Source organism: Homo sapiens, chromosome 17, assembly GCF_000001405.40.
Source record: "Homo sapiens chromosome 17, GRCh38.p14 Primary Assembly".
NCBI lineage: Eukaryota > Metazoa > Chordata > Mammalia > Primates > Hominidae > Homo > Homo sapiens.
The window spans coordinates 10,641,247-10,664,249 of record NC_000017.11 but is presented as its reverse complement, the minus strand read 5'-3'; the positions used below and the strand labels follow the sequence as shown (position 1 = coordinate 10,664,249).

Sequence of the window (23,003 nt, the reverse complement as noted above, 5' to 3'; positions counted from 1 at the left end):
TGCTCACAATATCTTTAGCAGAGCAGAGACGAAAATGTGCTAGCAATTTTTACTCCTGCATTAACAGTGAGTTTTTATAAGACTCTACATAACCTTCTTGAAAGCAGGCATAATATTCATTTTTATTGTATTTGCAAGGTGGGAAGCATTTTTCATACTAGACCTTTTTTTTTTTTTTTTTTTTTTTAAGACGGAGTCTCACTCTGTCACCCAGGCTGGAGTGCAATGGCACGATCTTGGCTCACTGCAACATCTGCCCCCCAGGTTCAAGCAATTCTCCTGCCTCAGCCTCCTGAGTAGCTGGGATTACAGGTGCACGCCACCACATCCAGCTAATTTTTGTATTTTTAGTAAAGACGGCATTTCACCATGTTGGTCACGCTGGTCTCGAACTCCTGATCTAAGGTGATCCACCTGTCTCGGCCTCCCAAAGTGCTGGGATTACAGGTGTGAGCCACCGCATCTGGCCATGTTAGACCTTTTTTTAAGTGTTAGTTAGTTTTTGGAATAGGTGACACATATACCAAGCACATAATTCAAAAGTTACAGAAAGGTAAATAGCAAAAAGCCAAAAGAAAGTCCCCCTCCTGTCCTGTGTCCCCCCAGCCACCCATTTCCCCTCCCAGAGGAAAGGACCCTTCGAGAAATCCATCAATGTCTGATGTCTGTCGACTTGGCTTTCCCTGTACCACAGCTTTCCAGAAGCCTTCATTTCCTGGGCCCCTGTGAGCTTTCCCACTTCTGCCTTTGGCCCTCCTGTCCCCTTGCTGAGGATGCCTTCTTGCACCCTTGACTTCTCGAGCACTCTTCCTGCTCCACAGGGCCCCACATGAATGCCTCTTCACAGAGTGCCCTAGCATTCCCTCCCTGGGGCCACCTTGTTCCGCGAGACATTCTTTCTCCCTCATTCGAACACCATCAGCATGTGTGACTTTTTGATCCCCTCAACACTTTTGATCTTGTACCATACAGTTCATTTGGAGGAATATGTCTGCCTCTTCTCACTCTTAGAGGTGAACGCCTTCTCGAAGACAGAGACCAGGCTGTCTCCATCTGTATCTCCCTGGAAGGGCTGGGTTCTGTGTCTGGCACGTAAAATGTCCAATAAGATTTATTTTATTTTATTTTATTTCAGTTTACTTTTTTTTACTTTATTTTATTTTGAGATGGAGTCTCACTCTCTCACCCAGGCTGGAGTGCAGTGGTGTAATCTCGGCTCACTGCAACCTCTGCCTCCCAGGTTCAAGTGATTCTCCTGCCTCAGCCTCCTGAGTAGCTGGGATTACAGGAACCCACCACCACACCCGGCTAATTTTTGTGTTTTTAGCAGATACAGGGTTTCAACATGTTATCCAGGCTGGTCTTGAATTCCTTACCTCAGGTGATCCACCCACCTCAGCCTCCCAAAGTGCTGAGGTTACAGGCGTCAGCCACTGCACTCAGCCCCGATAATGTTTATATTACCGAAAAATAACTAAATAAGGTAGGAGGAATGATCAAGACTAAAAGAAACTAAAGAGACATACTCATCAAGTGTAATGCCTAAAAAAAGATTCCATCTTTACTTGGGGGTTGGGGAGAACCCAGCTATACCATTGTTGGAAGAACTGGAAAAATTTACATGCGAACTGCCTAAGACATGATATAGAATTATTACTAATTTTATTGGGTAAAACAATGGCATTTTGGAGATTGTCCTTTTTCTTAGGAGATATATACTGAATATTTAAGGGTGAATTTGCATATTGTCTACTACTTTCAAATGGCATAGCAAAATAAGACTTAGCTACAGAGAAAGAAAGAGAAGGGAGAGAGGGAGAAAGCAAACTGGCAAAGTGTTAACAGTGGTCGCATTTAGATATGGGTGTTCATTTATTACGCTTTGTACTTACCTAAATGCTTGACATTTTTCATGATAGAAAGTTGGGGACCAGACGCAGTGGCTCCTGCCTGTAATCCCAGCACTTTGGGAGGCCAAGGCGGGTGGATCATTTGAGGACAGGAATTTGAGACCAGCCTGAACAACATAGGAAAACCCGGTCTCTACTCAAAATACAAAAATTAGCCTGGCATGGGGGCACCTCCCTCTAATCCCAGCTACTTGGGAGGCTGAGGCACAAGAATCACTTGAACCTGGGAGGCCGAGGTTGTAGTGAGCCAAGATCATGGCACTGCACTCCAGCCTGGGTGACAGAGTGAGACCCTGTCTAAAAAAAAAAAAGAAAGAAAGAAAGAAAGAAAGCTGGGGAAGGTGCATAATATAGTTGAATTGAACTAAAAGGAGAGTTATGGCCTCTCTCTTCTTGAATTTCTTCTTGAGACTCTGGGCATTTTGGCTTAGGACCCCCACCCTTCACCTCAGTGCCAGGGAATGGTCTTGGCTCAGGATAACCGAGTTCCTCATTTCTAGTGACACCTAATCCCCATCACAGTGGGGCATGGAGAACGCTCTTGATCCAGGAGCCATGTGCTCTCCAAGGCTGACTTCATGCTCTGGCAGACAGCGGTCCTGGGCATGATGCTGCGAGGCTGGGAGCCCCAGCATCCGTTCTCAGGACTGAACATCAAACGGCGGCGGTGGAGAAAATAGCTGGGCAGGAAGTGACCGAGCATCGTGAAGAAGGGGGCAGCCACCTGATTCATTGCCTGCTGAGCCGGCCTGCATTCTTGAGACACAATACATATATTTTCCAGCCCATCAAGGGATAAATGCAGCTCTGCCCTGGCTGTGGGGATTATCCCTGGCTGTGTGATGGCTGAAAGAATAAGGGCTCCTTCTGTTCCCAAAAGCCAGCTAATAATATGCCACTAAGTCATCTGTCCCCTGTTCATCAGAGGATGAATTCCAAGAGAGGATCCAGTTCACTCCTGAAGCTATCTCTTGAAGCAGCAAGAGACTCTCTTCTTTAAGATTTTTCTCTTTGGATGGAATTTTTTTTTTTTTTTTTTTTTTTTTTTTTAGATGGAGTCTCAGGCTGGGTGCGGTGGCTCACACCTGTAATCCTTGCACTTTGGGAGGCTGAGGCAGGTAGATCACCTGAGGTCAGGAGTTCAAGACCAGCCTGACTAACATGGTAAAAACCCATCTTTACTAAAAATACAAAAATTAGCCAGGCATGGTGGCATATGCCTGTAGTCCCAGCTACTCGGGAGGCTAAGGCAGGAGAATTGCTTGAACCTGGGAGGTGGAGGTTGCGGTGAGCTAAGATAGCGCCATCGCACTCCAGCCTGGGCAACAAGAGTGAAACTCTGTCTCAAAAAAAAAAATAAGGAGTCTCACTCTGTTGCCCAGGCTGGAGTGCAGTGGCACAATATCGGCTTACTGCAATGTCTGCCTCCTGGGTTCAAGCAATTCTCCTGCCTCAGCCTCTCGAATAGCTGGGATTACAGGCACCCACCACCACACTCAGGTAATTTTTGTATTTTTTTTTAGTAGAGACAGGGTTTTACCATGTTAGCTAGGCTGGTCTCAAACTCCTGACCTCAAGTGATCCACCCGCCTTGGCCTCCCAAAGTGCTGGGATTATAGGCATGAGCCACCATGCCCGGCTGGATAGAATTTTTTTTTTTTCCGAGTCAGAGTCTCACTCTGTCGCCCAGCCTGGAGTGCAGTGGCATGATCTCGGCTCACTGCAAGCGCCGCCTCCCAGGTTCACACCATTCTCTTGCCTCAGCCTCCCAAGTAGCTGGGAATACAGGGACCTGCCACCATGCCAGGCTAATTTTTTTTGTATTTTTAGTAGAGACGGGGTTTCACTGTGTTAGCCAGGATGGTATCGATCTCCTGACCTCATGATCCGCCCGCCTCGGCCTCCCAAAGTGCTGGGATTACAGGCGTGAGCCACCGCGCCCGGCCAGAAACTATTTTTTAATATTACATATGTCTCTTTCTCCCTCCCCATCTCAATAAGACATATATTCAGTGTAATTTACTCAGGGTTCTCATTAAGAAAACCAGTCACACTGTGCCATAATCTGCAGGTAGAGAAGAAAACTTACACCTGGCAAACACCTGCAATGTACCAAACACAGCACGAGGCATGGTGTGTGCGATGTTGGGATATCCCGCTGAATGCACATAACTAGTCTGGGAGGCAGGTATGTCACCCCCGTTTTACAGAGGAGAAGACGAAGGCTCAAAGAAGCACACTGCCTGCCATCACGTGGTGTGCAAGCGGGCAAGCCGGGATCCACATCCAGGCCTGTAGGACTCTCAGCTCCATGCTCCTCCTGCTCCGACCTGCTGCTGTGGAAGTACATGCAGTTCTCACCTCTCCTAAAGATACGTTTCCAAATGACCAGACTTTGTGATTCCTGATATCCAGCTTTTCAACTGCTCTCCAGACTGCCGTGGGTGCTGTCCCTTCCAGCCACTGCGGGATTTCTCCTGGAGAGCTGACCTCTATCCCTGACGCTGGCCCTCTTCTCACCGCTTCCAGCAAGCTTCCTGTGGCTCCTGCCTTCGGTTTCCTCATCTGAAAAGGAGACAGTTCAGCCAAAGAGATGGTTCAGCAGGGTGTTCTTTCTCCCTCATTTGAACGCGATCAGCATGGGTGCCTTTCTGGTCCACTCAACACCTTTGATCTTGTACCACACAGTTCATCTGGGGGAACGTGTCTTCCTCTTCTCAGCCCTACAGACGAATGCCTCTTTGAAGGCAGGGACCAGGCCATCTCCATGTGGAGCACTCTGGAAGTTCTGGGTTCTGTGCCTGACACATAAAAAGTGTCCAGTGATGTCTATATTACTGAAAAATAAATACGTAAGATAGGAGGAATGATCCAGACTAAAAGAAACTGCCAAGATCTCACAGCTGAACACTCTAGGAGTCTGTGACGTTTTCTCCTAGATTCACTTATATTTGTTTGCTGAAGATGAAGAATTCTGATGAAGAGAAGGAAGGAAACAAGGACAGTGTGGAAAGCCAGGCGAGAAGCCATCAGCATTTTAGAGCTTGTATTAGGTCCTAACGTGATATGGGTGCTCTCTTAAGGGAACTAAAAGAAATGTTGAAGGGAATATTTCTTTTCTGTCTCCTGGAGGTGAGTATGGATGTAGTTATATAGATAGATGAGTACATTGGTCACTGCAAAAGGGAAAAAGCAAAATTGCCCCCTATTTCATTTCCACACAGTTCCTCCTGTCAACAGGTCTGGGTGTTGACGTAGGAACTGCAAGTTCCCACGTCCACCCCCGCCACACCCACAGCCTGCCCTGCATACACCACTGCTGGAGATGTAGCCAGGACAGCTTGCCCTGTCCCCTGACCCCACGGACCTTGTTAACACCGCTGCTCCCCTCGGTGATATTTACCTGTCCGTGGCTGTCCTGACCAATACTCCCAAGGAGACAGTGCATCACTGGGCCAACAGGGCAGAGCCCCAGGGGACCACTCCCTTTACGACATGGACGGACACTTTAGGAGTGACGGTTACCCTCTCCTTGGATGAGGAGGGGCTCCAAGGATGGACATGTCAGTCTCACCTGGAGGGAGAGGGGCAGTGGGTGGGGGCAACGCTCAGTGGCTGGTGGACAGGCAAGGGGTGAGTGAGCCCTGCCCAACTGACTCCATTGGCGGCCACTGGCCTTGCCTGGCATTCACGGAACAGGCGCTTCATAAACTTGTTGCTTCAATGTGAAATCACCTCAATTTTGTAAATGCGTCTGTAGCATCCACAGGACTCATCATCTAGAATTCAAACCCTTAAGGGTAAAGGCTGCGTCTTCTGTTTCCTCTGCGTCTTCTCGAAGCACTGTGTGTAAGGGCCAGAGCACAGAGGATGTTTCATACACGTGCCTTTGCCCTGAGACCGCAGCCCTGCCTCCCCGGTCCCACGCAGACCTCATGGAGTGGCCTCCACTTCGGGGCTTGGTACTGCTGTGTACGGAAGGGGCGGTTTCTATGGGAAACATGGACAAACAGTTCTATTTGGAATAAGCAACCACAGGGTGCCCACCCAGCCATCCTCCCAAAGATTTGTCAAGAAAAAAAAAGTAGAACGAGAATGGGCAAAAGCGTCCGACATACTTTACTCTTCTCTTGAGGCTTTATTTTTCCACTCCTGATTTAGAGATGACCACATTTGTTAGACAGCCCCCCCTTGTCCGCCCTTTCTCTGCAGGCCACCACCGTTCCCCCTACCCCATCCCAGCCAGCAGCTGGTCTTTCCTAATTGGTAATCTGTCTTAATAGCCACAGGTCCTCAGGCAGCTGTCGCCGGGAATACGAGCTGGCAGCATAGATCCACGTCACTAACTTAACTGGCTGGTCCTATTAGAGCTTAAGAAAGAATTAAGTTAATAATGATACTAATGAGACAGAACGTTGCATAGGAGAAAATAAGAGAAAGAAGGAGAGGAGTAGAAGGAGGAGAAGGGAGAAGAGGGCAAGGGGGGAGGGGAATTATTGCTATTAATTATTATTATTATTAATTATTCCTGGCACAGGTTTTGCAATCACAACCCAAGGTTGTGATAAAATCTTGCTCAAAATTCAAAAAGGATTTCAACTTTTCACTCTCAGTCTTATTCACTTTTCCATATGATGAGATTTCTAAGTAAGCCACCCGACTTCAGTCCTTGGTGCCCAATAGCTAGGGGCTCACGCCGCGTTCAGGGTGTGATGAGCGCCTGAGAACGGAGGTGGCTGCCCCCGCAACTCCTCCTGGAGTGAGGCCATCCCATCCCATCAGGGGAGGGAGCACCGGCCCCAAGTTCAGAGAAAGGCATCCCAAGCTCCTGACATTCTGCGGTCGGAAAATGGTGATGGATCCTGCTCATTTCTAATTATACCTTTCCCTTGGCAACGACAAAGATACGTGTGGAAGAAGCTGGTTCTCGGCTTGGGGGGGCCACTCATCCTCTTGCCAAATATAGAGAAGGAATGAGCCGCGGGGGTTACCAATGGCCTATAAAAGCCCCGGGGAGCAGCCAGCCCTCTGTGGCTCGCTTGTGGGCGGAGGTAAGTCACAGGCTCCTCTTCTAGGTCTCAGCTGCTTGGAGCACACCCACCCGGTGAGCACATCCACACCCCGTGCGTGGTTCCCTGGCCCTGCCTGGCTCTGCTGAGGTGGCGCCTCATGCCTTTCTGAGTTTTCTTAGGATAAGCAAGGTGTAGAGAGCGAGGTTCCCTGGGCCCAAACACCCAGCACCCTCTGGCTCCAGCACCTCCCCCAAGCAGGAGCCCTGCAGGTTCTCTCTCCTCCACACACTCTCCCCTGTCCTCCTCTCCAAGTGTCCTCTTGGGCAGGATCCTTTTGGATGCCCCGTGAGCCCAGCTGCCATGGCTTGACCTTCTCCCATTGCCTCTGTGACCCATGAAGGGTCAACAGGACTGGGGACCTCACTCTGCCCTCACCTTCCCCACCTGGGCTGTACATCTGCCAGGTGTCTTGTCCTCTCAAGACCACACTGGCTGTGGGCATTGCGTGTAAATTAATCTCAGAGATATTGCCTGTTCACAGACAAGGAGACCTGCCCCTGCCCTCGAACTGTTGACTTTAAGCAGGGATGCGGTCCCTGCTGTCCGATTCTAAATGGGAGTGAGGAAGACTGAAGAAGGTGCCAGTGCAGGCTGAGAGAAACCAGATTTCTGCACAGCTGAGGGTTTTTCCTCCCTGCCTGGCTTCCTGTGGGTCACGTCCCATCTGCTCTTCCATCTTCCAGCCTGCCTCTTTAAAGTATTAGTCTTTTTTTTTTTTTTTTTTTTTTTTGAGACAGAATTTTGCTCTTGTCGCCCAGGCTGGAGTGCAATGGCACAATCTCGGCTCACTGCAACCTCTGTCTCCCAGGTTCAAATGATTCTCCTGCCTAAGCCTCCAGAGTAGCTGGGATCACAGGCATCTGCCGCCACGCCCAGCAATTTTTTAAATTTATTTTTTATTTTTAGTAGAGAAGGGGTTTCACTATGTTGGCCAGACTGGTCTCAAACTCCTGACCTCAGGCCATCTTTCCGCCTCGGCTTCCCAAAGTGCTGGGATTACAGGCGTGAGCCATGGCGCCTGGCCCCTTTATCCTTTTTAGTTAACTCGTCAGAAGCCGATTCTACATGGACGCAGCCACCCCAAGTGCCGCTAAGTTGTGTATGTGCATATTCTTCCAGGTCTGGGATCTCCTGGCTGTTGCTGTCTTCTGCTCTCATCCTGCAGGTGGGACTCTCAGGTGAGAAGTTGGGCCCTGTCCCTCGGCTGTTGGAGATCTCCAGGCAATCCAAGCTTGCCAGTTCCTTTCTCCCTCCTCCCACCGGCCATAAGGGCACAGAGGGACAGGGGAACTAGCACATTTAGACAAGGACAGGTCGTGGCCGGGTGCAATGGCTCACACCTGTAATCCCAGCACTTTGAGAGGCCGAGGTGGGCAGATCATGAGGTCAGGAGTTCAAGACCAGCCTGACCAACATGGTGAAACCCCGTCTCTACTAAAAATAGAAAAATTAGCAGGACGTGGTGGCAAGTGCCTGTAATCCCAGCTACTCAAGAGACTGAGGCAGGAGTATCGCTTGAACCTGGGAGGCAGAAGTTGCAGTTAGTGGAGATCGTGCCACTGCACTCCAGTCTGTGACAGAGTGAGACTCCATCTCAAAAAAAAAAGGCAAGGACAGGTCAGGCGGGAGAGGAGGTGGCATTTGGGGGACTGTCAAACAGATGCTGATGTCAGATGCTTGATTTTGTTCTTAGCAACCCAAGGAAGCAAAAGGCAGGTTCCCGCATACGAGCGTGTAGCCACCTTGATTGAAATGGTTCAAAAATATCTTTGCTGTTTGCCATTAGCACACTCTCTTTGAAGATGGCGTTTATTTTTTAAGGGTGTTTATTTTTAAACGTTCCCTCAGCAACACCTGGTTGTCACAGAAGCGGAAAAGGCGGTCCCAAGAGTGGTGCTCACTTCCAAACCCCTTATCGCCAGTTCAAGCCTCAGATGCTTGAGGAGCTTGGGTTAAATAGGCTGTAAGACTGTCGCACAAGAAGCCCCTCAATAAATATGCACCCGTGTGATTTCCCAGCACTGAAGCCCTTTGGGTGGAGCTTCTCAAGGCATGAGGACAGCCTGGTTCCTGGGGCCCTGACTCTGAGGGCTCCTGCGGCTGAAGGAGGGCAGGGTGGAGGCTGAAACAGGCCTGGAGCTGCTGGGTGCCTGGCAAGGGGGCTGCTGAGCTCACCGGGTGGGTTTGCCTTCCAGCTGACACCATGAGTAGTGACACTGAAATGGAAGTGTTCGGCATAGCTGCTCCTTTCCTCCGGAAGTCAGAAAAGGAGAGGATCGAGGCTCAGAACCAGCCCTTTGATGCCAAGACGTATTGCTTCGTGGTGGACTCAAAGGAAGAATATGCCAAGGGGAAAATCAAGAGTTCTCAGGATGGGAAGGTCACTGTGGAAACTGAGGACAACAGGGTAAGGCTCTGTACCCTCCACAGGCTGCTGGCCCTCCACCTGGTCCTTGTGCTTGCCTGGGGTATGCATCTGCCCAACCCCAGCCACTTCCAGATGTGGTTCCAGCACTGGAATGCCGCATACAATGTAGCCTGGGGCTTCCCAGGTATCCTCAGAGAAAGCAGAGTGAATACTGGCCTCAGGTTCCAGGGTGGGAATAGAGTCTGGCTGTGGCTGATTAAAACAATTAGTTTTCAGGTATTTTTGTCCACGTTCACTGTAGGCCAGAGGGGCCCAGCTCCACGTGTCCCAAGGGTGTGGAGTTGGGAGTTCAACATGAATGAGCGCTGTTTCAGAACACTCTCCTTTGGTAGCCTAGATTTGTCCCAAATTATTCTATCAATGGCCATCTAACCAAGGAAGTAAGGAAAATGTGTTAGGGATCCTAGGGGACCACAAGCTCAGTGAAATAGCAGCCTCCTTGTATCATGAAGGGGATGAGCACTGCAGCCCATTACATTCTGGCCCAAGCCACTGTGGGGGTGCTGCGAGGAATTCTGGAGCTCACTAGTTTCTAAAATCCACATCAGGAGAATCTGGAAAAGTCCCAAGAAAAGTAAAAAGCAAAAAAAGGAAAAAAGAAAGAAAGAGTGAAAGAGAGATGGAGGGAAGGAAGGAAGGAAAGAAAGAAGGAAGAAAGAAAGCAAGGAAGGAAGGAAAGAAAGAAAGAGAAAGAAAGAAAGAAAATAAAAGAGACAAGTAAAGGAAATACTATCATTGGGTTGGGCATGAAGGAAAAAAGGCATTAAAAACCGCCCTGCACGTGAACCCGGGAGGTGGAGCTTGCAGTGAGCCTAGATCACGCCACTGCACTCCAGCCTGGGAGACAGAGCAAGACTCGGTCCCCCCAAAAAATAAGAACCGCCCTGCAGTGCTACCAAGCATTGGAGCTCCGAAAAGGTGGCTCTCTGTGTATTTCCAATAAGGAGCTAAGAATGGGCTGCTAACACGTCAGGGAAGGAGGAAGCTAGATACAGTGAATGATAATCTAAGATGAACCTAAGAGACCATCATAGACAGCCAGGGCCCATTGGCCGGGATGGTTTGAATGAATCCCTGCTTGAAGGCAGGGAAAAGGCAGGTTTCCCATCCACACTGCCCAGAGACAGAACCAGGAAAACTGACCATTTCAGAGGAGGTCACAGAGAAAAAGGAGGTGAGGACAGGGCAGGGAAGAGGAAGACAAGTTCCCCACCCCCTGTGCCTGAGGTCCTCCAGCTTCCCGAGGGTGTGGGGGTTTGTCCTGCTGAGAGAAGTGCAGGTGCTCAGAACCACTGCTCTGCCTCATGGTGCCGTTTGCCTGGCTTATAACACTCTGACCCCAGAAAGGGCAGGAAAGGGGTGGGGAGGGCAACTGAGGGGCCCTTTCCTGAGCATGCTGGGGCTGGGTGGTGAAGGGGGAAGAGGTGGGCCGGGGGCTGGACAGCTGCTTTCAGAGAGCTCAGAATGTTGGCAATCCATGGGCACCAGCCTGGCAATCCAATGCCCCTTCCTCATTCTCTTCGGTCCCTGCCTCACGACTGCAGGGGACATATGCGTCATTTTCTCTCAGTAGACAGGAAAGAGCCAGCTGCTGGAGCTGGATTTTGGTCCAGGCAGTGTTACTGACTGAGCTGAAAGGTTCCTGCTGGCCCCGTTCCCAGCCACCATCACCCATATCCACCCACACAGATCCTCTTTTCTCATTTCCGACATCCGTCTCTCACCTCAGGCCCAATGGGGAGGAAGAAGACACCCTGAATAACAGAAACAAACCCCATTTCATCAGCACCACCACAAGCCGCCCCATAGCCTTTCCTCCTCTCGCTGTGAGCTGGGCTTGTTCTAGGGTTTGGCCCTTCCATCTCGGCTCAAGAGTCTCTTGGTCTTTTGGTGGGGGCAGCAGACAAGACGTGCAGACAGGCCAGGCACGGTGCCTCACACCTGTAATCCCAGCACTTTGGGAGGCTGAGGCGGGTGGATCACGAGGTCAGGAGATCGAGACCATCCTGGCTAACACGGTGAAACCCCGTCTCTACTAAAAATAAAAAAAATTAGCCGGGTGTGGTGGCGGGCGCCTGTAATCCCAGCTACTTGGGAGGCTGAGGCAGAAGAATGGTGTGAACCCGGGAGGTGGAGCTTGCAGTGAGCCGAGATCGCATCACTGCACTCCAGCCTGGGCGACAAAGCAAGACTCCGTCTCAAAAAAAAAAAAAAAAAAAAAAAAAAAAAAGACGTGCAGACCATCTTAGTGAAGCACTGTGCCTCTTCCTTTTTAGACCCTGGTGGTCAAACCAGAGGATGTGTACGCCATGAACCCCCCCAAGTTCGACAGGATCGAAGACATGGCCATGCTGACGCACCTGAATGAGCCAGCCGTGCTGTACAACCTGAAGGACCGTTACACATCTTGGATGATCTATGTCAGCGAGGGCTTTCGACGTGGTTTCCCTGGGGCATTAGATATGCGGGCAGGGGAGGGAGGCAGAGGTATGTGTGTGGGCCGTGGGATTCTGGAAGATGAGTGCTTGCCTAGCTGATGAACAAAACACAAAGACGGAGGAGAAAGAAGGCAAGAAAGCAAGAGGTGGATGGGGCAGGAAGAAGGAAGGTGGGAAGGAGGACCAGGAGCCGGAGAGCGGGGAAGCTGGGGCCAGGCTTGGTCACGGGGTGCTGTGACTTACCAACTGTGGGAGGGTCGCCACTCCCCTTTTTGAGTCTCAGTGCCTCACTATAAATAGGAATGGTAGCCTCCCCCCTTTATAAGTTTATCCCAAAGAAACATGAGATAATAATAAAGGCAGCTGGGTGTGGTGGCTCACGCCCGTAATCCCAGCACTTTGGGAGGGTAAGGCGGGTGGATCATGAGGTCAAGAGATCGAGACCATTCTGGCCAACATGGTGAAGCCCCATCTCTACTAAAATACAAAAATTAGCCGGGCGTGATGGCATGTACCTGTAGTCCCAGCTACTCGGGAGGCTGAGGCAGGAGAATTGCTTGAACCCGGGAGGTGGAGGTTGCAGTGAGCCAAGATCGTGCCACTGCACTCCAGCCTGGTGACAGAGTGAGACTCCGTCTCAAAAAAAAAAAAAAACAATAATAATAATAAAGGCAAGGGGTTTTCCATATGCACATACATACATATACGCACGTATATGTTTTTCCTCCCACAGACCTACTCAGGCCTCTTCTGTGTCACTGTCAACCCCTACAAGTGGCTGCCGGTGTACAACCCCGAGGTGGTGGAAGGCTACCGAGGCAAAAAGCGCCAGGAGGCCCCACCCCACATCTTCTCCATCTCTGACAACGCCTATCAGTTCATGCTGACTGGTGAGTTTCCCAGGAGGAAGCATGGGATGCTGGAGCAGGCACTGCATGAGGCGAGCGGCAGTTGCCCCTTACTCCCAGGCTGGACCCCATCTGGTGTTTAGCACAGGGAAAGGAGGAAGAAGGAGCCAAAAGAGGCAGAAAGGGGCTGCATCATGTAGGGCCCCGCATGCCAAGGTGACGAGTTTTGGATTTAATGCAAGTTAGAATATGCAAAACGGATATGGATGTTTTCATGGATCAAAACCAAAAACTGATCATTTTATATAGTTCAGCCTAATACAGCAAGAACGATGAGAAGCCACTGGCTGGTTTTTTTTTTTTTTTTTTGAGATGGAGTCTTGCTATGTTGCCCAGGCTGGAGTGCAGTGGTGTGATCTCGGCTCACCACAACCTCTGCCTCCCGGGTTCAAGCGATTCTCCTGCCTCAGCCTCCCGAGTAGCTGCGACTACAGGTATGCACCACCATGTCCGGCTATTTTTATATTTTTAATAGAGACAGGGGTCACTTTGTTGGCCAGGCTGGTCTCAAACTCCTGACCTCGTGATCTGCCTGCCACAGCCTCCCAAAGTGCTGGGATTACAGGCATGAGCCACTGCACCCGGCTGCCACTGGCTGATTCTGAGTGGAGACTTGCCCTCTCTGAGTCTCAGTCTCAAGAAGGAGGCTTTCGATATTGACCAAAGGATACAGCTGGAAAGGAGAAATCGGTGCTGGTGATCTGTCCCATAGAATGGTGACTCCGATAAGTAATAATGCATTGTATATTTCAAAATCCCTAAAATAGTATATTTTAAATGTTTTCTCCACAAAAAAATAAGTATGTGAGGTGACGGATTTGTTAATTAGCTTGATTTAATCATTCTGCCATATAAACATATATCAAATCATCATGTTGTACCCTACAAATATATACAAATATTGTTTGTCAATTAAAAATAAAATAAAATAAAAAGCAGATGGAGGCTCTTCAGATTCCCACCTAAAGGCTAAACAAAAAATGTAAAGGAAGAGGAATTGTGCAATTTAACTCTGGCTACTTGAGAGTTGGGTAGAATCGGGAAGCTCTTTTTCTATTGCCATCAACTCTATTTTATTTTTTCCTCTGGCAGATCGTGAAAACCAGTCCATTCTGATCACGTAAGTATCCATGGCATAGAGTGGTTTCATAGCTGTGCCACTGGCTCTATTCTGTTCATTAGAAAGTGTTTGGAGCAGAGTCTATAATAAAAAGATCAGGCTGGGCGCGGTGGCTGACACCTGTAATCCCAGCACTTTGGTAGGCTGAGATGGGCGGATCACGAGGTCCAGGAGATCGAGACCATCCTGGCTAACACGGTGAAACCCTGCCTCTACTAAAAAAAATACAAAAAAATTAGCTGGGTGTGGTGGCGGGCACCTGTAGTCACAGCTACTCAGGAGGCTGAGGCAGGAGAATGGCGTGAACCCAGGAGCCGGAGCTTGCAGTGAGCCGAGATCGCGCCACTGCACTCCAGCCTGGGCAGCAGAGTGAGATTCTGTCTCAAAAAATAAAAAATAAAAGAGAAAAATAAATAAATAAAAAATAAAAAGATCGATTTGGGGATGGGGAGGAAGGTCTGCATAAGGCCTCAGAAAAATGGAATTACCCATCCTTGGGTCAGCTGAGCAAGTGCCTGTGGCACCTGTGCCCTGGGCGTCTGCCTTCTCAAGTGGTCTGTCACATTAGTGTGGTGAGTGTGTGTCAGAGATGGCTCAGACCATGCCCAGGCCTCAGTATGACATCCTGAAAAGCCTGTTTATACTAACAGACTTGTTTCTTTCTCTCTCTTTTGATCACTCTGTACAGCGGAGAATCCGGGGCAGGAAAGACTGTGAACACCAAACGGGTCATCCAGTACTTTGCAACAATTGCAGCTACTGGGGACCTGGCCAAGAAGAAGGACTCCAAAATGAAGGTATAGATGGGAGAGGAAGGCTTGCTTTGCTTCCACTTTTAACTGTGGTCTTAACCTCAGAATGAGGGGGCCAAATGTCCTCACATTCCCCCCTCTTCAGAGAATGGAGAACAGGCTAGGATTTACTATCTTGAAGGACAGCCAGTCACCTTAGACAACGCAGTGTCAAGTTGGTCTTGTAGGACTAGATCCCGGGATTTCTTAGAAGACAAGGCTCTAGGGCTAAACTTCAGAGGTCAATCTGCAGACGGCTCAGAGAGCTTGTTCTTTTGTGGAAGAATCACATATACCAATGTGAGTGACTCACAGCATATCCTGGGCTTTTGAAACAAATGTATTACAGCAGCATGAAATGAATACGGACAACTGACTGGAGAATCAAGGGATTGAAGTGTTAAAGGAATGCTCAGTCAAGAGATCCCCAACTGTAGTGCCAAATATAACAAAATGGCAAAAGTGTTTTGAGTAAGACATGCTGCTGATTTGGTTGGTCCTAGGATTGGAAAGTCAAGGAGGGTGGGGCTTTATCAGGGCAAGCCAGAGTCACAGAGTGGGTGAGCATTTTTTACTGTCATTCTGTGGCTTAAAAACATGTTTCCTCAGGCTGGGCTCGGTGGCTCACGCCTGTAATCCCAGCACTTTGGGAGGCCGAGGCGGGTGGATCACCTGAGGTTAGGAGTTCGAGACCAACCTGACCAATATGGAGAAACCCCATCTCTACTAAAAATACAAAATTAGCCGGGCATGGTAGTGCATGCCTGTAGTCCCAGGTACTCGGGAGGCTGAGGCAGGAGAATCACATGAACCCGGGAGGTGGAGGTTGCAGTAAGCCAAGATCGTGCCATTGCACTGCAGCCTGGGCAACAAGAGTGTAACTCCATCTCAAAAAAAAATGTTTCCTCTTCTTCCCTCAATTTCTTGCATTAGGGGACTCTGGAAGATCAAATCATCAGTGCCAATCCCCTGCTGGAGGCCTTTGGGAACGCCAAGACTGTGAGGAATGACAACTCCTCCCGTTTTGTGAGTCTGAGTTTGGTTAAGATGGAATTTGCTTTGTGCCTCACAAAATAGGCAAGAGCCCTGTCCTCAAAGAGTGTAGAGACCAGAGGCAACAGATGATGAAAAACAAAACAACCCAACAAGACCATTTCAGATAAAGATAAATTCAGACCAAGTTCAATGAACAGCGTGTGTAAGAGAGGAACTGGGGGCCAGGCTTGCTTTAGGCAGGGTGGGCAGGGAAGACCTCTCTGTGGGGCTGGCACGGGAGCTGAGAGCCGCAGTATGAGAAAGAGCCCAACTTGAAATGACAGGAAGGAGGGGGAACGAAGGAAGGGCCAGGGCAGTCCCTGACATGGGGGAGGGCCTGGTGCAGTCAGGGCACCTACAGAGGGTCTGTGTGGTTGTAGGGAGGAGGGCAGGGGGGCCAGTTCCATGAGATGAGGTGGAAGAGAGAGAGACCTGGTCATGTGGGAGCCACAGGCCATGAGAAGGAGTTTGGATTCCTTTTGAAGTGTAACAGGAAGCTACTGAGGGATTCTATAAGCCAGGGAGTGATATGGTTTGATTTACACCTTGAAACAATCACTGTAGTTGCTTTGTTGACTAGATACGTTGAAGTGGGGGATGAGCATAGAATAAAAGGGATAAATAAAAGGAAATAAGGAAAACCCCAAACTGGAAGAAGAAGAAGGGAGAAGAGGAAGGACATATCTAATTTCAAACTGTAGGGGGTGCTGGGCACGGTGGCTCACGCCTGTAATCCCAGCACTTTGGGAGGCCGAGGCGGGCGGATCACGAGGTCAAGAGATCGAGACCATCCTGGCCAACATGGTGAAACCCCGTCTCTATTAAAAATACAGAAATTAGCCAGGTGTGGTGGCACGTGATTGTAGTCCCAGCTACTCAGGAGGCTGAGGCAGGAGAATCACTTGAACCCGGGAGGCAGAGGTTGCAGTGAGCCGAGATCACGCCACTGCACTCCAGCCTGGTGACAGAGCGAGACTCCGTCTCAAAAACATAACAAAACAAAACAAAACAAAACAAAAATTTTAGGGGGACTAGGCTCCTACTCAAATTACCCATAAGATGAATAGGAACTATTGGGCCATGGTAGAATCTGGTCTCCCCCTGAATCCCGCCCCATACAGGGCAAGTTCATCCGAATCCATTTTGGAACCACTGGGAAGCTGGCCTCTGCAGATATTGAAACTTGTAAGTAGATCCATGGGGATTCGATGGCGTCTCAGAGTTAACTGGGAACAGTTTGAAAGAGAGTCCTGTGTTTGTGTTCCAGATCTTCTGGAAAAATCAAGAGTCACTTTCCAGCTGAAGGCTGAAAGAAGCTACCACATCTTCTACCAGATTCTTTCTAACAAGAAGCCTGAGCTCATAGGTGAGGAAGTCACCAGTGGGGCTGGTCTTTTAGGTAGTTTGACTCTGATCACTAGACCAAGGAGAGTTGTATCTACGTAGAGTGACTCTACAGTCAACAGGGAAAGTTTATTTTATTTTATTTATTTATTTTGAGATAGGGTCTCACTCTGATGCCCAGGCTGGGGTGCAGTGGCACAAGCACAGCTCACTTGTAGTCTTGACCTTTCTGGGTTCAAGTAATCCTCCAGCCCCAGCCTCCCGAGTGGCTGCGACTACAGGTGCATGCCCCCACACCAGGCTACCTTTTGTGTTTTTTGTAGAGATGAGGTTTCACCATGTTGCCCAGGTTGGTCTTGAACTCCTGGGCTCAAGCAATTTGCCCGACTCGGCCTCCCACAGTGCTGGGATTATAGGTGTGAGCCACTGCACTTTGCCAGGAAAAGCTTATTTTAGAAATGGGATGTGGCTATCTGGGCAGTGACATGCCAATTTGAAAACCTAATCAAATGGAGGGCAACAAGATTAGACCACTCCTGACCAGCTCTGGTTTATAAAAACCTTCTGAGCAACTGAACACCTAACTGTCCTTTGGCGCCCCCTTGTGTTCTGGCACAGAAACAACCTATGGCCAAATGCGACGCCAAAGCAAACAGAATAATCAAGCCCACGGAGGCACTGCACACTGCCCCTTGTCTGCCCCTCACAGAGGTCTCCATGCACACTGCTTCTTTGCTCTTTGGCTGTATTTGCTCAGCCTTCTGGTCTCCAGCTTGGAAACAGGCTGCTGCTTTTCAACAGATTTTAGAAAAGGCTATGATTATACCAAACCACCTGGGTTGGCTCTCGTCCTGACCCGCACTCAGCCAGTTTTCCCTATTAACTTCTCCCAGCCGACACTGATATGCACCATTAGCGTGCAAGGCAAGGGAATTTAAAGGTTCTCTCTAGGGTCCTTCATCTCCATTGTGTGGGAGACTGAAAAGTCTTCCCTGGACTATATTTTCCATGACAGCCTGAGTATTGTGGAACTGTCTAAAAGATTTTTAATTCTAAGTTCAATTTAGGATCCAGCGGTAAAAGTTCCAGCCCAGGGTGCAGGAGCTCAAGTCCACTGGGTGGGTTTTTTCTTTGCATCTGCATAACCTCCTGGAACTATTTGTCATTTCAGAGCTGCTGCTTATTACGACCAACCCTTACGACTACCCGTTCATTAGCCAGGGGGAGATCCTGGTGGCCAGCATAGATGATGCAGAGGAGCTGCTGGCTACAGACGTAAGTGGAACCAACAGAAGGGGTGGGTGTTCCTCCTCCATCACTGGGGCCAACTGACTGACGTGCTGCCCTTTCCATGCCAGAGCGCCATTGACATCCTGGGCTTCACCCCAGAAGAGAAATCTGGGCTCTACAAGCTGACGGGAGCCGTGATGCACTACGGGAACATGAAGTTCAAGCAGAAGCAGCGAGAGGAGCAGGCCGAGCCGGATGGCACAGAAGGTACAAAATCAGTGTGACAGCAAACCAGAGCGGGTGGCTGATCTGCTGAGGTCACTTGGTACTGCTTTTGAAAGCAATTAATCCAGCCAGGCACAGTGGCTCACACCTGTAATCCCAGCACTTTGGGAGGCTGAGGGGGCCAGATCACCTGAGGTCAGGAGTTCGAGACCAGCATGGCCAACATGGTGAAACCCCATCTCTACTAAAAAAAATTAGCTGGGCATGGTGGAGCATGCCTATAATCCCAGCTACTCAGGAGGCTGAGGCACGAGAGTCAGACAGAGTTTTGCTCTGTCATCCAGGCTAGAGTGCAGTGGCATGATCTCAGCTCACTGCAACCTCTGCTGCCTGGGTTCAAGTGATTCTCCTGCCTCAGCCTCCCGAGTAGCTGGGATTACAGGCACACACCACCGCGCCTGGCTAACTTTTTTGTATTTTTAGTAGAAACGGGGTTTCACCATGTTGGCCAGGCTCAAACTCCTGACCTCAAATGATTCGCCTGCCTTGGCATCCCAAAGTGCTGTGATTACGGGTGTGAGCCACTGTGCCCTGCCGGCATGAGAGTTTCTTGAACCCAGGAGGCAGAGGTTGCAGTGCACTGAGATCGTGCCACTGCACTCCAGCCTGGGCAACACAGTAAGACTGTCTCAAAAAAAAAAAAATGGATGGAAGCGATTAATCCTTCCATCTGGAGAAGTGAATGACCCTTTCTGGGCCTCCGATGCCCATAGCTATTGTTACCACTCGCTTTTCCTGAATCACTCGAATAGTCTTGTTTCAGATGCAGTGAGGGATGACCAGGGCTTTCTGAGACCCAGCCCTGGCTTTTCATAAAGTCCATTATATTCTCTGAGTGACTTAGCTTCCATTGGCCATGTATATGCAGTTTAGCCACAGGGAATGCACAATGTACCAAGATGAACTTAACCAACCTTTGAAACTTCTGGATGATTTTCAAAGCAGCTCTTCTACTTTTCTAAGCACTGTCCTTGTTTTCTTGCCAGTGGCTGACAAAACAGCCTATCTGATGGGCCTGAACTCTTCGGACCTCCTAAAAGCTTTGTGCTTTCCTAGAGTGAAAGTTGGGAATGAGTACGTTACCAAAGGTCAAACTGTGGATCAGGTAACAGCTTCAAGGCCGGGAAAGGGTGCAGGACCCTGCTGGCCACTTCCTTCATATCCAGTAGCTGATCTTTCCCCTGATAGGTTCACCATGCTGTGAATGCTCTTTCAAAATCAGTTTATGAAAAGTTGTTCTTGTGGATGGTCACTCGCATTAACCAGCAACTGGATACGAAGCTTCCAAGACAACACTTCATTGGTGTTTTGGACATTGCAGGCTTTGAAATCTTTGAGGTTTGTGTTACTTATATTCATATTTTCATATGGCTTCATATGAGGGAAATTGGTTTCATGATCCTAAAGGGAAGATAGCAAGATGGCGGCTGTCTTAGTTTCCTGTAAGAAACTAGATGGAGAGTGGATGGAATAGAGGAGCGGTACTTATTGGAAGGGTTTGTATTAGGGTTTTTTGTTTGTTTTTTTTTTTTGAGACTGAGTTTCACCCTGTCACTCAGGCCAGAATGCAGTGGCGCCATCTCGGCTCACTGCAACCTCTTCCTGAGTTCAAGTGAACCTCCTGCCTCAGCCTCCTGAATAGCTGGGATTACAGGCGTGTGCCACCATGCCTGGCTAATTTTTGTATTTTTAGTAGAGATGGGGTTTCACCATGTTGGCTAGGCTGGTCTCGAACTCCTGACCTCAAGTGATCCATCCGCCTCGGCCTCCGAAAGTGTTGGGATTACAGGCATGAGCCACCGCACCTGGCTGGGTTTGTATTATTTTAAAAGAGGAGAAGATGTCTATCAAGTGGAATTTTAAAGGACATTTTCAAATGGATAAAAGAAAAAAAATTAAATGCAATCACTGATTTAGGGACTGCCATCAAATAGATACAGAGAATTTGATAAGTTAATCACGCACTATTTTCTATAAATATCCCACTGGTTCTGTGTTAGACCGTGCATAGCCGCGGCTGGGCATGGTGCCTCATGCCTGTAATCCCAGCACTTTGGGAGGCTGAGGCAGGCAGATCGCAAGGTCAAGAGATCAAGACCATCCTGGCCAACATGGTGAAACCCCGTCTCTACTAAAAATACAAAAATTAGATGGGTGTGGTGGCGTGCGCCTGTAGTTCCAGCCACTCTGGAGGCTGAGGCAGGAGAATCATTTGAACCTGGGAGGCGGAGGTTGCAGTGAGCCGAGATGGTGCCATTGCACTCCAGCCTGGTGACAGAGCAAGACTCCGTCTCAAAAAAAAAAGAAAAAAAAAAGTGCATAGCCACTCATCAAAGTGTATATTTAGGTTTCCCAGGTACAAGACATACAGGTGAAAAAAACAGATGAGCTTGTAGTCTAGTAGAGAAGAAATAGAAGTCTATATGGCACATTGAAGAGTAACTACAAAATAAAGTACACAAGAGATGCCCAGACCTTGGGAACTCAGGAAAGGGAGAAACACCTTCTAATTGGAAGTTTACAGAAGACGCCAAGGAGGAGATGCGGTCTGAGGCAGGCCTTGAAGATTGTGATTGTATTTGAAAGCATTAATGTGTTTGACAGGAACCTGGGGCAATGAGGAGGAATGTTGACAGTCTTTGATTCTGAAAGAAGTCTAACTTTTCACATGAATGTTGTATTTTTTTATTAGTATAACAGCCTGGAGCAGCTGTGCATCAACTTCACCAATGAGAAACTGCAACAGTTTTTCAACCACCACATGTTCGTGCTGGAGCAGGAGGAGTACAAGAAGGAAGGCATCGAGTGGACGTTCATTGACTTCGGGATGGACCTGGCTGCCTGCATCGAGCTCATCGAGAAGGTATCCAGTTCCATCCCCACCGTAAGCTCTTCTCATAGACTCTTCTGCTCATTACTGCAGCTCATATTTACCTCTCTGCACTTTGCCTTGCCTTCAATCCAGCCTATGGGCATCTTCTCCATCCTGGAAGAGGAGTGCATGTTCCCCAAGGCAACAGACACCTCCTTCAAGAACAAGCTGTATGACCAGCATCTTGGAAAGTCCAACAACTTCCAGAAGCCCAAGGTGGTCAAAGGCAGGGCCGAGGCTCACTTCTCACTGATCCACTATGCGGGCACCGTGGACTACAGTGTCTCAGGTTGGCTGGAGAAGAACAAGGACCCTCTGAACGAGACTGTGGTTGGGCTGTACCAGAAGTCTTCCAACAGGCTCCTGGCACACCTCTATGCCACGTTTGCCACGGCGGATGGTAAGAGGAGTGCTTTGTGTCCATGTGATTTCCCTCCATTTGTTCCACAGTAACAAAAAACCTTTTAGATTCACCTACAGCACGTGCCCTCCCTTATTGCTTTCAGCTGACAGTGGAAAGAAGAAAGTTGCCAAGAAGAAGGGTTCTTCCTTCCAAACTGTCTCTGCCCTTTTCAGGGTAAGAAAAATACAAGTTTATTTGCTTATAATTGATTTAAGTGACATCTAAATGAGCAATGCTGAGATTCTAAGCTTGATTTATTTGAGAGTAGTAGTGTTGTCTTAATCTGATTACTGTCACTGAGGTGAAGTGACAGATGATAAAATATAATAAATACGGTCTAACCAATGTGCGATGAGAGTATCACTATTATCTTATACCAAAGATAGCTGAGTTGGCTTGTCCGAGTTTCCAGCATAAACTCTCCAATTTTCCTAAAGGACACCAGCAATAGACCTCACGCTCCCAGTGGATCCATCACCTGAGTTGATTTTAGAAAGCATTTTGTACTTGGCGAGCCTCTGGCTCACTGGGAGACAAAAGACAATTGTATCAGTTACTAGCCTACACCTCCAGCCATAGGACCATTGAAAGCCTGAGTTAGGCCGGGCACAGTGGCTCACTCCTGTAATCCCAGCACTTTGGGAGGCCGAGGTGGGCAGATCACAAGGTCAGAAGATCGAGACCATCCTGGCTAACACAGTAAAACCCCGTCTCCATTAAACATATGAAAAATTAGCCAGGTGTGGTGGCATATGCCTGTAGTCCCAGCTACTCAGGAGGCTGAGGCAGGAGAATTGCTTGAACCTAGGAGGAGGAGGTTGCAGTGAGCCAAGATTGAGCCACTGCATTCCAGCATGGGTGACAGAGCGAGACTCCGTCTCAAAAAAAAAAAAAAAAAAAAAAAAGACAGAGTTAAATCATTTCACTATACTTTAGAACTTATGATAAATTTTAAACATAGATCTTATTTCATTACAATGGATCTCTGTCTTCATAAAAACCTACAGTAGGATGGCAAATGTCATTTTTTTTTTCTCTTAGGAAAACCTGAACAAGCTGATGTCAAATTTAAGAACTACTCACCCTCATTTTGTGCGTTGTATAATTCCCAATGAAACCAAAACTCCAGGTGAGACACCTGCTGGCTCGCTAGGTGGTGCTCAGTTT

The 23,003-nt window shown here is 48.7% G+C and overlaps 1 protein-coding gene across 4 annotated transcripts in view; it reads left to right on the top strand.

Moving 5' to 3' along the window:
- MYH3 (myosin heavy chain 3) overlaps positions 1-23,003 on the top strand; it is a 49,886-nt gene that overhangs the window by 14,168 nt on the left and 12,715 nt on the right. Inside the window, exons 3-20 of one of the 4 annotated variants that reach the window (XM_047436127.1) lie at positions 3,982-6,961; positions 8,102-8,160; positions 9,178-9,389; positions 11,687-11,830; positions 12,582-12,738; positions 13,849-13,876; positions 14,565-14,673; positions 15,601-15,693; positions 16,824-16,887; positions 16,970-17,068; positions 18,218-18,321; positions 18,405-18,543; positions 19,548-19,666; positions 19,750-19,899; positions 21,254-21,424; positions 21,527-21,833; positions 21,940-22,010; positions 22,878-22,965. In XM_047436127.1, coding sequence (XP_047292083.1) covers positions 9,186-9,389; positions 11,687-11,830; positions 12,582-12,738; positions 13,849-13,876; positions 14,565-14,673; positions 15,601-15,693; positions 16,824-16,887; positions 16,970-17,068; positions 18,218-18,321; positions 18,405-18,543; positions 19,548-19,666; positions 19,750-19,899; positions 21,254-21,424; positions 21,527-21,833; positions 21,940-22,010; positions 22,878-22,965 — 2,047 coding nt within the window. In that variant the 5' untranslated portion in view covers positions 3,982-6,961; positions 8,102-8,160; positions 9,178-9,185. Of the gene's footprint in view, positions 1-3,981; positions 7,015-8,101; positions 8,161-9,177; positions 9,390-11,686; positions 11,831-12,581; positions 12,739-13,848; positions 13,877-14,564; positions 14,674-15,600; positions 15,694-16,823; positions 16,888-16,969; positions 17,069-18,217; positions 18,322-18,404; positions 18,544-19,547; positions 19,667-19,749; positions 19,900-21,253; positions 21,425-21,526; positions 21,834-21,939; positions 22,011-22,877; positions 22,966-23,003 lie in introns of those variants that run through there. The other 3 variants (NM_002470.4, XM_011523871.3, XM_011523870.4) reach the window with 3 other exon arrangements.